A 13,304-nucleotide genomic window follows, 5' to 3' on the forward strand; every position below is an offset into this window, starting at 1 on the left:
CATAGAAATCAGGAAATAAAAACTAGGATGTGACTTCCTATCCTATCCCAAAGAAAGGTAATGAAATAAAACCATATTCACACAAAAAATCTTTGGAATATTTGGGACCTCACTGAAAATGAATGTTTAATTTCTAAAGGTTGCAAAATCCATTTTCTTATGTTCTAAGAAGGAGTCAGGGCCGGGCACAGTTGCTCATGCCTATAATCCCAGCACTTTGGGAGGCCGAGGCAGGCGGATCACGACGTCAAGAGTATGGAGACCATCCTGGCCAACATGGTGAAACCTCGTCTCTACTAAAAATACAAACATTAGCTAGGCATGGTGGCTTGTGCCTGTAGTCCCAGCTACTTGGGAGGCTGAGGCAGGAGAATTGCTTGAATCTGGGAAGGGAGAGGTTGCAGTGAGACAAGATTGTGACCCTGTACTCCAGCCTGGCAACAGGGCAAGACTCCATCTCAAAAAAAAAAAAAAAAAAAAAGGAGTCAGGCAGCAGCAGCATTATACTTCTCATTCTGTGCTATTGACTCTAACAGGAGTCAACTATCTGGACTAGATGATAAGTCTGACTTTTCTTAGTATCATAAACCATTAAAAATAACTTGTATAGACTTTGTGGGTGTAAGTGGATTACTGCTGGCCTGGCGAAAGAAGCTTACACTGTCAAGATGATTTTATCAGCAAGTTTGTGTGTGTCAAATCCTAGAGCCAACTTAAATTGGCTTTAAATGTTTTTTTTAATTGCTATCTCAAATAACAAGAAATTGGAAAGCAGGGCAGTTCAAGCATTGGCTACTTCAAGGGCTCAACAATGACAGGCATCTCAGTTTTTTCTATCCTCTGTGCTGCCATCCTCAGTACATTGTTTGTTTGTTTGTTTTGTTTGTTTTTGAGACAGAGGCTCACTGTCACCCAGGCAGGAGTGCAGTGGCACGATCTTGGCTCACTGCAAACTCCACCTCCCAGATTGAAGCGATTCTCCTGCCTCAGCCTCCCAAGTAGCTGGGATTACAGGTGTGACCCACCACATCTGGTTAATTTTGTATTTTTAGTAGAGACGGGGTTTCACCATGTTGGCCAGGCTGGTCATTGGTCTCGAACTCCTGACTTCAAGTGATCCACCCGCCTCAGCCTCCCAAAGTGCTGGGATTACAGACTTGAGCCACCATACCCAGCTAGTACATTGTTTTTGTCCTCCAGATTAGCCCCCTCATCTAACAACAGGTAGAAATTAGCCATTCTTTATTACAAGGAATGGTCTAAGAGACCCTGTCCCCAAATTCACAAGCAATTAGAAAGCAATTAGGAGAAAAAAGCTACTTTGGACATAAAGCATAAAGAATTCCTTTATTATAAATAGTGAAAGGTAATAAAACTGGAAACATAAACACATATCTTTTCTAAACAAAAATTCAATATGGCAATACAAAACTTAGCCAGGCTTGGTGGGAGCTCCTGTAATCCCAGGTACTTGGGAGGCTCAGGCAGGAGAATCACTTGAATCCAGGAGGCGGAGGTTGCAGTGAACCAAGATAACGCCACTGCACTCCTGCCTGGGTGACAAGAGCGAAACTCCATGTCAAAACAAAAAAAGCCGGGCTTGGTAGCTCACGCCTGTAATCCCAGCACTTTAGGATGCCAAGGTGGGTAGATCATCTGAAGTCAAGAGTTTGAGACCAGCCTGACCAACATGGAGAAACCCCGTCTCTACTAAAAATGCAAAATTAGCCGGGCATGGTGGTGCATGCCTGTAATCCCAGCTACTCAGGAGGCTGAGGCAGGAGAATCGCTTGAACCCAGGAAGCAGGAGGTTGCAGTGAGCCAAGATCACGCCATTGCACTCCAGCCTGGGCAACAAGAGCGAAACGCCTTCTCAAAACAAACAAACAAAAAATTCAATATGGCAGCCCAAAATAACTAAAAACAACATAGTGGGTGAAGAGTTAAACTTTCTCTTCACACATTAGCACTATATATGTAAATCATTCAGCCTGGTAACTTCTCATAAAGTGTTTCATCCTTCCTAAAATCATATTACATTAATTATAATTTGTTTAAATTAATTCTGACATTATGCTTATAATAATCATCTCTTTTTAATATTTAAATACCATTGGACTAACACTTTGATCATTTGGCAAAACTTCCATTTTGATTCAATGAAAAACGTCCATATATTTACATATTTCACTCTTTGGAGAAGGTTACCTCTAGATTTCTTGACCGTTTCACCCTTTTCTACGAAAGTTTATGCGACTTATAAGTTCTCTGAACTTCAGTATTAAGGAGCAGTTGTTCATGTTGTCTTTCCATATTTCATAAGTCCTTTTAAGTTTTTCATAATAACTTTCTTTTTTCAAGCTGAAATCTGATCCTGTTGTTTTTAAAAAACTGTCCTTTTTCCATATTTCTCTCCAGGAATCTTTGAATTTTTCTAAGTAACTTTCTTTTTCAGAGTCTTCCTTCCATATTCCTTCTCCTTTTTTTAAGGCTGTTAATTCAGCTTTAAGTAAGTTTCTGTGAACTGTCCAGTAGATTTTAGAATCATATTTAAGCCCTTTAACAAGAACAGTTTTGCCAAGGCCTCTTCTCAAAATTTCTTCATTCAGATTCACGCTGAAATATCCACCCTTGAATTTAAAAATAATACAAACCAATTATTTAAGATAATTGTTGTTATACCCATCACATCTTATTTACCTTAAAAATCAGTCATTCAACAATTTTAGTCCTCCAAAGAAAAGGCAAAAATGGTCCCCAAGGCTCCCCCAAAACAGCTCTTGCGAAATCCAAGGATTTTTATTACTAGAAGAGACCCTTGCTCAAAATCAGTTGATTCTTTTATAACATGGAATTCTCCACAGACTCACTGTTCTCCTAATCCGAAGAGGTGAGGAAGCAATAAAGTATGAAAAATGTGTTTTTGGTCTGTTGGTGGTTCTGTGGAGGGGAAGTGGGACACCCAAGATAGGCAGAGTGACAGTAGGACCAGCAAAAGAAACTAAGAGATGAAGAGAAACTAAACTAAAAGTAGCCAAATGCAAAATGAACTGAATCATCACTGAACTGTTAAATTAGGTTCAGAATTCCAGTGTTTTGGACAGCACTGGCAAGTAAATACATTTTTAAAAGACTTCCCTCAAAATAATTAACATAAAAATAGTCTTGGCCATTGAGTCTTCATCCTACAGGAAATTTTATTCATGGAATACCTCACCTCCTAATGAAACTGGATAAATGGGATTTTTTTTTTTCATTAATTTACGGTATAAAGGAGATCCTGGCGGGGCGCGGTGGCTCATGCCTGTAATCCTAACACTTTGGGAGGCCGAGGCGGGCAGATCACAAGGTCAGGAGTTCGAGACCAGCCTGGCCAACATGGTGAAACACCACCTCTGCTAAAAAAAAAACACAAAAATTAGCCGGGTGCGATGGCAGGTGCCTGTAATCCCAGCCACTCAGAAGGCTGAGGCAGGAGAATTGCTTGAACCCAGGAGGCAGAGGTTGCAGTGAGCCGAGATCACACCACTGCACTCAAGCCTGGGTGACAGAGCAAGACTCCATCTCGGGAAAATAAATAAATAAATAAAAGGAGATCCTGCCTAGATATTTCTACAATCCTTGTGGGATTTTAATCTTAACAAAGTGTTAATAAAATTTTGTTCCTTCAAATTGAGAAATTTTTAGTACATGATAACAGTTATAAAGCAATTATCATATTTTTCTAAATCTTTCAAATCTTATAAGCTCATTCCCTTGAACCAAACTCAGTATAATTAAAATTCCACCTCACACGTTAGCAAAATTCAAACAGGAGAAGTAAATTATCACTCTATGTGTATAGCATAGTTTGGTCACCCAGGAAGCAAGATAAAATAAAGATATGCTTATAAGATGAAGTAAATGTAGGCTCAGGAGCCAGGAAGAGTTGGGTTTGGATACAGGCTTTTCTTCCAGGTTACCCTGACCAAGACAATCAGTTTCCCTAAAAGTCCTACCTGAAAGTGGGAATAAAAGCAACAACCTGTAGAGTGGTTCTGAAGATAAGTAACATAATATAAGCATGGCACCTTAACTCAGTGTCTGACACATGTTGACCCTCAAAATATACATAATTGATTGCTACCTTTATCATCGTCATAATCATCTCCTTTTTTTTGGTAATTATACTCTTTAACTTAAAAGCTAATATTTTTGTAAGGCCTTTAGGATGTTTTATACAACTTTGTATTATTAACTTACTTTTTTTGTTTTGTATTGTTTTGTTTTGTTTTTTTGAAGCGGAGTCTCACTCTGTCACCCAGGCTGGAGTGCAGTGGCACGATCTCGGCTTACTGTAACCTCCGCCTCCAGGGTTCAAGTGATTCTCTTGCCTCAACCTCCTGAGTAGCTGGGATTCCAGGCACCCGGCACCATGCCCAGCTTATTTTTGTATTTTTAGTAGTGATGGGGTTTCACCAAATTGGCCAGGCTGGTCTCAAACTCCTCACCTCAAGTGAACTGCTGGCCTCGGCCTCCCAAAGTGCTGGGATTACAGGCATGAGCCACTATGCCCAGCCTTTATTAACTTACTTTTAAACTTACTTTTAAAATACAAGATACTTCAATCAATTAGTTTTAGATAATTCTTATTTTGAAAGTACTGAATATCATCTGGACATGCAAAAATTAATGAATTTCATTAAGCTTTCTATTAATATTTCAAAAAGCTTTTAAGAATTAAAATGGTTAAAATTCTAATCATCTTATTTTATTTACAAGAAGGGGTCTCTCTCTATCGCCCAGGTTGGAGTACATTGGTGCGATCATAGCTCATTGCAGTCTCGACTGCGTAGGCTGAAGCGTTCCTCCCACCTCAGCCTCCTGAGTTGCTGGGATTATAGGCACAAGCGACTGTACCCTCATAATTATAATTTTAAAAGCTGAATATCATAGTATGATCAAGGTATGAAAACCTATCTGATGGCCCACCAAAAAAATCTGGAGTAAGGCACATGCACATCCTGGGATGCAGGACAGTGATTCAGCAACAAAGATGAAACTGTCACTTCCAGTTATACAATGGCTATGGCCAATCATAAAGGTAAGAAAACTCTGAGGCAACATCTTTAGATGACTCATCACTGATCAGAACTAGTACTTAAGAATGTTCAACTTTACAGTTCAAAGATTTATACACTTAGACCTATCAACAACATATTGGACCAGACTAAGCAAACCGTCAGAAAACACCCTGGCTGTTTGTAGTTTCCAGCTAACAAGCCTCACTCAGCAAGTGGTTTATAGTAACAAGCATGATGTAATATACCCATACATAAATAAATATATAATGATACTGCCTAAATTAGCAATGCCCAGAGTCATTAGTAATTTGAAGTTTATGGCCACAGTGGCTCATGCCTGTAATGCCAGCACTTTGGGAGGCTGAGGCAGGCAGATCACCTGAGGTCAGGAGTTCGAGACCTGCCTGGCCAACATGGCAAAACCTCATCTCTACTAAAAATACAAAAAATTAGCCAGGTGTGGTGGTGTGCACCTGTAGTCCCAGCTACTTGGGAGGCTGAAGCAGGAGAATTGCTTAAACCTGGGAGGCAGAGATTGCAGTGAGCCAAGATCATGCCGCTGCACTCCAGCCTGGGCAACAGAGTGAGACTCTGTTTCAAAAAATAATAATCATAAACAATAGGCCAGGCGCAGTGGCTCATGCCTGAATCCCAGCACTTTGGGAGGCCAAGGTGGGCAGATCACAAGGTCAAGAGATCGAGACCATCCTGGCCAACATGGTGAAACCCCATCTCTACTAAAAATACAAAAATTAGCTGGGTGTGGCGGCGCCCATGTGTAGTCCCAGCTACTCAGGAGGCTGAGGCAGAAGAATCACTTGAACCTGAGAGGCAGAGGTTGCAGTGGCCGAGATCGTGCCACTGCACTCCAGCCTGGCAACAGAGAGAGACTCCATCTAAAAAATAATAATAATAAATAATAATTTGAAGTTTTTCTTTTTTCTTAATTTTATTTTTTCTATATTAAACATATATTACATATGTAACTAAAATAAAATTTGTATACAAGACACCTATGCATAATCACTATCAGTAGCAGTTTAAAAGGCAAAAAAAAGTCAGTCCCATTATATATCCAAAGTTCTAATTAAATAAGTGTTTACATATAAGTAATAAGAAGAATAAGATATTGCTAGTTATTTCTTCACATTGCTTACCTTACTCACCAGAAGATAGCAAAAGAGTGCTGAATTCTCCTTTCCAAGAAGTTGGAACCATAGTAATTGGGAAGGTTTTAGCTCTTTTTGTAACCATGCCTTCCCAGTTTCAGCGAGTTCTACTCCAGCCAACTTAACCAGCAAAGCACCACGTGGCTCTTCTAAAAAGGTTAGGTAGAAAAGAGTTTAGCTTTAACAGCATGTTGCAAAAGCAAATTCCAGTCAGTTGGCCTCCAACAAACAAACAAATATATTATGTTTATTTATAAATACCCAGTCTCTCTAACTGTAGACCCATTTATTTCTATATTCAAGTTTTCTTTTAAAACAATACAAGTATATATAACACAGTAATTTCAAAAACTCATTTTTTTTTCTTTTTTCTTTTTGAAACAGGGTCTCACTCTGTCACCTAGGCTGGAGTACAGTGGCGCAATCTCAGTTCACTGCAATCTCTGCCTCCCAGGTTCAAGCGATTCTCGTGCCTCAACCTCCTGAGTAGCTGGGATTACAGGCATGCACCACCATGCCCAGCTGATTGTTGCATTTTTAGTAGAGACAGGGTCTCGTTATGTTGGCCAAGCTGGTCTCGAACCCCTAGCCTCAAGTGATCCACCCACCTCGGCCTCCCAAAGTGCTGGGATTACAGGCGTGAGTCACCACGCCCAGCCTTCAAAAACCCATTTCAGTAAGCTTCAGAACAAGTAGTGAGATTTAACCAATTTAACCTTCTTTTTTCAACCTCCCATGCTTATTTTTACACATACACACATAAAGCTATAGGCCTTCAGTTTAATAATATGGGCTATTACCACCAAAAGAACCACAGAAACTGCTTTTTCACTTAACTTATTGAAGATATCTTCCAATCTCAACAAATATTGATCTACATCAACACTGTTATGCTTATACATTTTGCAAAACTGACTTCTAGACAGGATTTTATCAATTGATATTCTAAGTAGCATAATATGAAGAAGACCTGTTTACCCAAACCCTTGATAGAATTTTAACCAATGTAATTTTAATAACAAGATTTTACTTTAGATAAAATTTATAACTTTCCAAAAAGGGATAACAGCTGACAAAAAAAACTTAATGTCTTTAAAAAAATTATACACTTAACATACATTAAGCTCTTACATAATGGTTGAAAATATAAAGTTACATCCATCTATTCTCCAGGAAAGAAATAATACTTTAGTTCAAGAAGATATCCTAGAACACTGTTATATTATTTGATAAAAAAATAAATTTTATTAGGATATGGGCTTCTTAAAACCTGTCCTAGAATTTTAGTTTGAGAAGCACCAAAAGCTATAAGCAATTGTACTACTGCACTCCAGCCTAGGCTACAGGGCAAGAACTTATCTCAAAATAAAGAAGGTCAGGTGCAGTGCCTCACTCCTGTAATCCCAGCACTTTGGGAGGCCAAGGTGGGTGGATCACCTGAGGTCAGGAGTTCAAGATCAGTCTGGCCAACATGGTGAAACCCCATCTCTACTAAAAATACAAAAATTAAGGCCAGGTGTGGTGGCTCACACCTGTAATCCCAGCACTTTGGGAGGCTGAGGCAGGTGGATCACCTGAGGTTAGGAATTCGAGACAAGCCTGACCAACATGGTGAAACCCTGTCTCTACTAAAAATACGAAATTAGCCAGGCATGGTGGCACATGCCTGTAATCTCAGCTACTTTGGAGGCTGAGGCAGGAGACGTGCTTGAATTTGGGAGGCGGAAGTTGCGGTGAGCCAAGATCGTGCCATTGCACTCCAGCCTGGGCAACAAGAGCAAAACTCCCTCTCAAAAAAAAAAAAAAAAAATACAAAAATTAGCTGGGCATGGTGGTGCGTGCCTGTAATCCCAGCTACTCAGGAGGCTGAGGCACGAGAATCACTTCAATCTAGGAGGCAGAAGCTGAAGTGAGCCAAGATCGCACCACTGCACTCCAGCCTGGGCAATAGAGTGAGACTGTTTCAAAAAAAAAAAAAAAAAAGAAGAAGAAGAAAAAGGTATTTGTAGAATGATCATACTTTTACAAAAACTTTGTTACAATAATACACAAATTAGATTAAGGCAGTATATCCAACAAAGATTAAATTATGTCAAATCATTAGTACATAATGAGTTACAGAAAGCCTGAAAATTCTGAGGTCCCTCTCCAATCCTGTAATGTTGCCAACACCACCAATCCTCTTCCAGTAAGACATGCTGATAGCAGCAGGAGGCAGTCAAATTCCCAGGAAAATAGGGGCAGGTGCCCGGTGAAACCTGACCTTCAAACCAAAGACAGTTTAAAGCCCAAAAACCAAGCTGCAAGTCTCAGATAAATCCATGGAGTGGATAGAGAGCCTCTCTTCTTATTTGGTGCTCTTTCCTCTGATTGATCCCCAACCTCCACCTATTTTACATATAGCTACCCTTCCCTAATTGGTTTTTGCACTGTCATGCCCATCTTTTAGTGGTGCACATTTTTAGCCTTTTTTGCATACTCACAAACCAATCAGCGTGCACTCACCCATTCTGAGCCTAAAAAGCCCCAAACTCAACCACACTTTGAAACTGCCCGTCTTTGGGCAGGAGACTACCTGACTTCAGGTGGCGGGGGTTGGGTTGCACAACTCAGGTTCCCTCTCTGCTGAGAGCTGTTTTATCACTCAACAAAACTCTTTGCCTTGCTCACCCACCAGTGATCAGCTAACCTCATTCTTCTTGGATGTGGGACAAGAATTGAGACCCACTGAACAGCACGTGCAAATGAGCACAGGGTCCAGACCAGGGTGCAAGCCAAGTGCAGCCCACCAGGCCAAGTGGGCAGAATACCTCCTGTAGCAAGCCCGGGGCCAAGCAAGGTCCAGGCAGGGGCATCACCAGCTGTGGATGTCTCTGGCGAAGCAGAGCCAAAAAAATCCTGTGTCAACCCCATAGTCTTTGAGACCAAAGCTTTTGGGACCAAAAACTTGAAGTGGATGGTCCATTAATCTAATGAAACACTATCAACCTAAATATTAATATCCTAATTATTTACTTGACAAAGGTCATTGCATTCCTTTAAATTAGCAAATTCCCCATTGAGTATTTAAAATATAATATGATCAACAAGAATTTAAAAATAAATCTTCCAGAAACAAATTGATTTTTTGAAAAAGCAAGTGTTACCTTTATTTTTTATCTTTTTGAGATGCAGTTTCTTTCTTGTCACCCAGGCTGAAGTGCAATGGTGCAATCTTGGCTCACTACAACCTCTGCCTCAAGTGATTCTCCTGCCTCAGCCTCCTGAGTAGCTGGAATTACAAGCGCATGCCACCACACTCCCGCCACCACACCCAGCTAATTTTGTATTTTTAGTAGAAAGGGGGTTTTGCCGTATTTGCCAGGCTGGTCTTGAACTCCTGACCTCAAGTTATCTGCCCACCTCGGTCTCCCAAAGTGCTGGGATTACAGGCATGAACCACTGTGTGTGTGTGTGTGTGTGTGTGTGTGTGTTGAGACATAGTTTTGCTCTGCCACTGTGTGTGTGTGTGTGTGTGTGTGTGTGTGTGTGTGTGTTGAGACATAGTTTTGCTCTGCCACCCAGGCTGGAGGACAGTGTGTGTGTGTGTGTATGTGGTGTGTGGAGACATGGTTTTGCTCTGCCACCCAGGCTGGAGTGCAGTGGCATGATCATGGCTCACTGTAGCCTCAACCTCCCAGGCTCAAGCGATCCTCCCATATCAGCCTCGCAAGTAACCAGGGCAACAGGCACACGCCATCGGGCCCAGCTAATTTTGTTGTTTATTTGTTTGTTTTTTGAAATCAGCTCTCACTTCTGTCACCAAGGCTGGAGTGCAGTGTCACAATCTTGACTCACTGCAACCTCTGCTTCCTGGGCTTAAGCAATGCTCTCGCCTCAGCCTCCCAAGTATCTGTGACTACAGGCCTGCATCACCACACTCAGCTAATCTTTGTATTTTTTGTAGAGACAGGGTTTCACCATGTAGGCCAGGCTGGACTCAAGCGATCCACCTGCTTCAGCCTCCCAAAGTGCTGGATTACAGGTATGAGCCATTGCTAATTTAAATTTTTTGTGTGTGGAGACAGGGTTTCACAATGTTGCCAGGGCTGGTCTCAAATTCTTGGGCTCAAGGGATCCTCCTGCTACAGCCTCTCAAAGTGTTGGAAATACAGGCATGAGCCACCACACCTGGTCTTTGATTTCTAATCTATGAATTTTTTAGTTTTGTGTTACTGTGACGTGAATCCCTCTATCTTCTGAGCCCTTCAATAAATCTTTTATACAAACATCAAAAATAAATAAGTAAATAAAACCCAATTCATAACAGATGGGATGACACAGTACATGCTGGTTAGGAGGGGAGAACAACTTAGGCTCCAGTGGAGTACTCCAAGAGTACTCTATCAAAAAGGTAGAACTTGGCCAGGTGCAGTGGCTCAGCCTTTAATCCCAGCACTTTGGAAGGTAGAGGTGGGCCGATGTCTTAAACCCAGAAGTTCAAGAAGGGCAAGGGCAACACAGCAAGACCCCCTTTCTACAAAAAAAACTTAAAAATTAGTGGACATGATGGTGCACTTCTGTAGTCCTAACTGCTTAGGAGGCTGAGGCAAGAGGATAGCTTCAGCTTGAAAGGAGGAGGCTGCAATGAACCATGATCGCACCACTGCACTCCAGCCTGGGTGACAGAGCAAGACCCAGTCTCAAAATCAATCAATAAATACAAAGTGGGACTTGGATGTTTCAAATAAACAGAGAAGCAGAAGGCAGTAGAGAGTGACTATGTCAAGTAAGGGAAGGATCATGATTATCTAGAAAACCTACAGACATGAGATGAAAACTGAAGCAAACCCCAACTAGGGATACTGTTATATTTGTGCCTCATGAGATGGGTGGGAAACTCTGTGGCTAAATATTTTTGAGGTTTTTAGAGAGATAGGATATAATACAAAAACTGATTTTTTTGTAAACAACTCTAGATCTACAAAATACTATCAGTGGATTCATGACAATGTACAACTTCATGAGACACATGAAGTTGTATGACAGCAGAATCATCTACACCTGTGTCAAAAACTTTTTTTTTTTTTTTACCATCAGGGATGAGAAGCTTTGAATAATTTCCTCACTAGACTGCAGGTTTTATGACTACCGTAGGCATGTGCCCATTTTCTTTGCTGCTGTACTGAGACAGTAGCAATAGCACAGGCATTCAGTAATAATTGGAGGAATGAAGTATTCTAAATGTTTCAGTTCATAAAATTTTTAGGCTCTGTGTGTGTGTGTGTGTGTGTGTGTGTGTGTGTGTGTGTGCCTCCTCATTCATACATACCAAAAATAAGACAGCCGAAGGGATAGGTGGCACAGAATTGTCATTAGGAAGGAGTCTTAGAAATCATAACTTTCTTGTTTGATGGTGGTGGGAACCACAGACCAAAAGTAGAAACAGAACACAGCTCCACACACCAATCTGTGTTCTACTACACCATGCAGCCTCTACTACTATGTTGAGTCATTTGAACCAAACCTTCTTAGTAAGAGTGAGCTCCATTTTTAGGACCTGGATCTTAGCCCTCCTCAGAAATAGAATAAACATCTATTTCTATTACATAAACCAAGAAGTAAAAATAGTGAGAGGAACACAGGAGCTTTTAATTAACTATTTTAAAATGAAGACTATGCTCTAGCAACTTATTGTAACATTCAAAATGGTGTTTGGTTAGCAACTTTCTAGCTCTAAAACAATTTTACAGGTAAATAGGTTTCATGTCTGAAAGTGCAAAATGATCTTTTTCACATAAGCAGTTTATGTTAGTCATAAAACAGGCATTAGCACTATCATGACATTTGTAGCGGTTAATATCTGTTGAGAGGTATAAGACATTTAACATCTGTTTCTTTAACTTCTACATGTCTATAGAACATGCAGTTCTGAACTAAGTGATGGAAAATCTGTTTTCTAGCTTTGATTTCATCATCATTAGCTAGATGGCATTTAATCTCTATAGAAAATATTAAAATAACTGGAGGAGAAAAGTGGGAATTTAAGGACTTCTAAGGCTCCCTTAGGCTCTAAAATTCAGATTCTATGTACCAAATTACATAAATACTTTATTATTTGTGTGAGATCCCTTAATATAAAAATCATACATGGCAATTACAGTGCTGTGGCATTGCATGATTTCAGGAGGCAGATTTCTATGGAATATCACCCCTGTAGACATGCAATGCATAGCCTGGACAACCACAGGTGATGATCTGGCTGGCTAAGCTCTAACGAGTCATTACTATCAGATAGGAGAGATTTAAATTATTACAGCAACTGAGAAGCTAAAGGACCTGTGAAGTGTAAATCCTGCTTAGAGCTGAGATGGCCAAAGGCCATCCTTGGTAATCTCTCTTCAGGGAGCAACACTCATTAAAACTGTATAAGTTCTCTTTGGTTTATTAAAAGAATTAATGGTATCAAGTATGTTTGGGGGGGAAAATCAATCTTGTTCCTTTACAGTTGTACATTATTGAACAGAGTGATATTCGTTCAACTCGGGATTTTAAAAAAGCAAGAACTCCTTTCTTCATAAAATCAGAATATTAAGAAGGGCCATAAATAGAATTAAATTAATTCATTTGACAAATTTTACCAAGTCTCTATTGGCTAATAAGTCTTTTTCTAGGGACTTTGAATACCAAAATAAAAAGGAAAAACTCCTTGCCCATCAGGGGCTCACAGTTCAGTAAGGAATATAAACCTAAATACATAATAGCAGAAAAAGGTGAATAAGTACTATAATTGCAGTGTATTATAAATTGTTGTGGGGTATAGCAAAGAAAGAGGCTAATGCAGCTTGGCAGTTAAGGAGGCTTCACAGAAGAGCTGACAGTTGAGCCAGATTCTGAAGAATCAATTGATGTTCAACAGAGGCCAAGATACTCCAAGCAAAGAACCAGGCCCAGGGTTATGAGAATGCATATAAGCAGCAGGAAGGTCTGTGTGTCTGGGTGCTTTGATGTGAAGCAAGGAGAAATGGGAATTGCAGCAGGAAAGTGGCATCTTACACCAAACCTGTCCAGTCTGCAGCCTGTGGGCCACATG

The 13,304-nt window shown here is 40.4% G+C and overlaps 1 protein-coding gene across 3 annotated transcripts in view; it reads right to left on the minus strand.

Moving 5' to 3' along the window:
• C3orf33 (chromosome 3 open reading frame 33) overlaps positions 1,329-13,304 on the minus strand; it is a 43,662-nt gene continuing 31,686 nt past the window's right edge. For all 3 annotated transcript variants that reach the window (XM_011512710.3, NM_001308229.2, NM_173657.3), the window contains 2 exons: positions 6,221-6,381; positions 1,329-2,630 (listed from right to left, as the gene is read on the minus strand). In XM_011512710.3, coding sequence (XP_011511012.1) covers positions 2,229-2,630; positions 6,221-6,381 — 563 coding nt within the window. In that variant the 3' untranslated portion in view covers positions 1,329-2,228. The remainder of the gene's footprint in view (positions 2,631-6,220; positions 6,382-13,304) is intronic.

Source organism: Homo sapiens, chromosome 3 (genome assembly GCF_000001405.40).
Source record: "Homo sapiens chromosome 3, GRCh38.p14 Primary Assembly".
Classification (NCBI taxonomy): domain Eukaryota; kingdom Metazoa; phylum Chordata; class Mammalia; order Primates; family Hominidae; genus Homo; species Homo sapiens.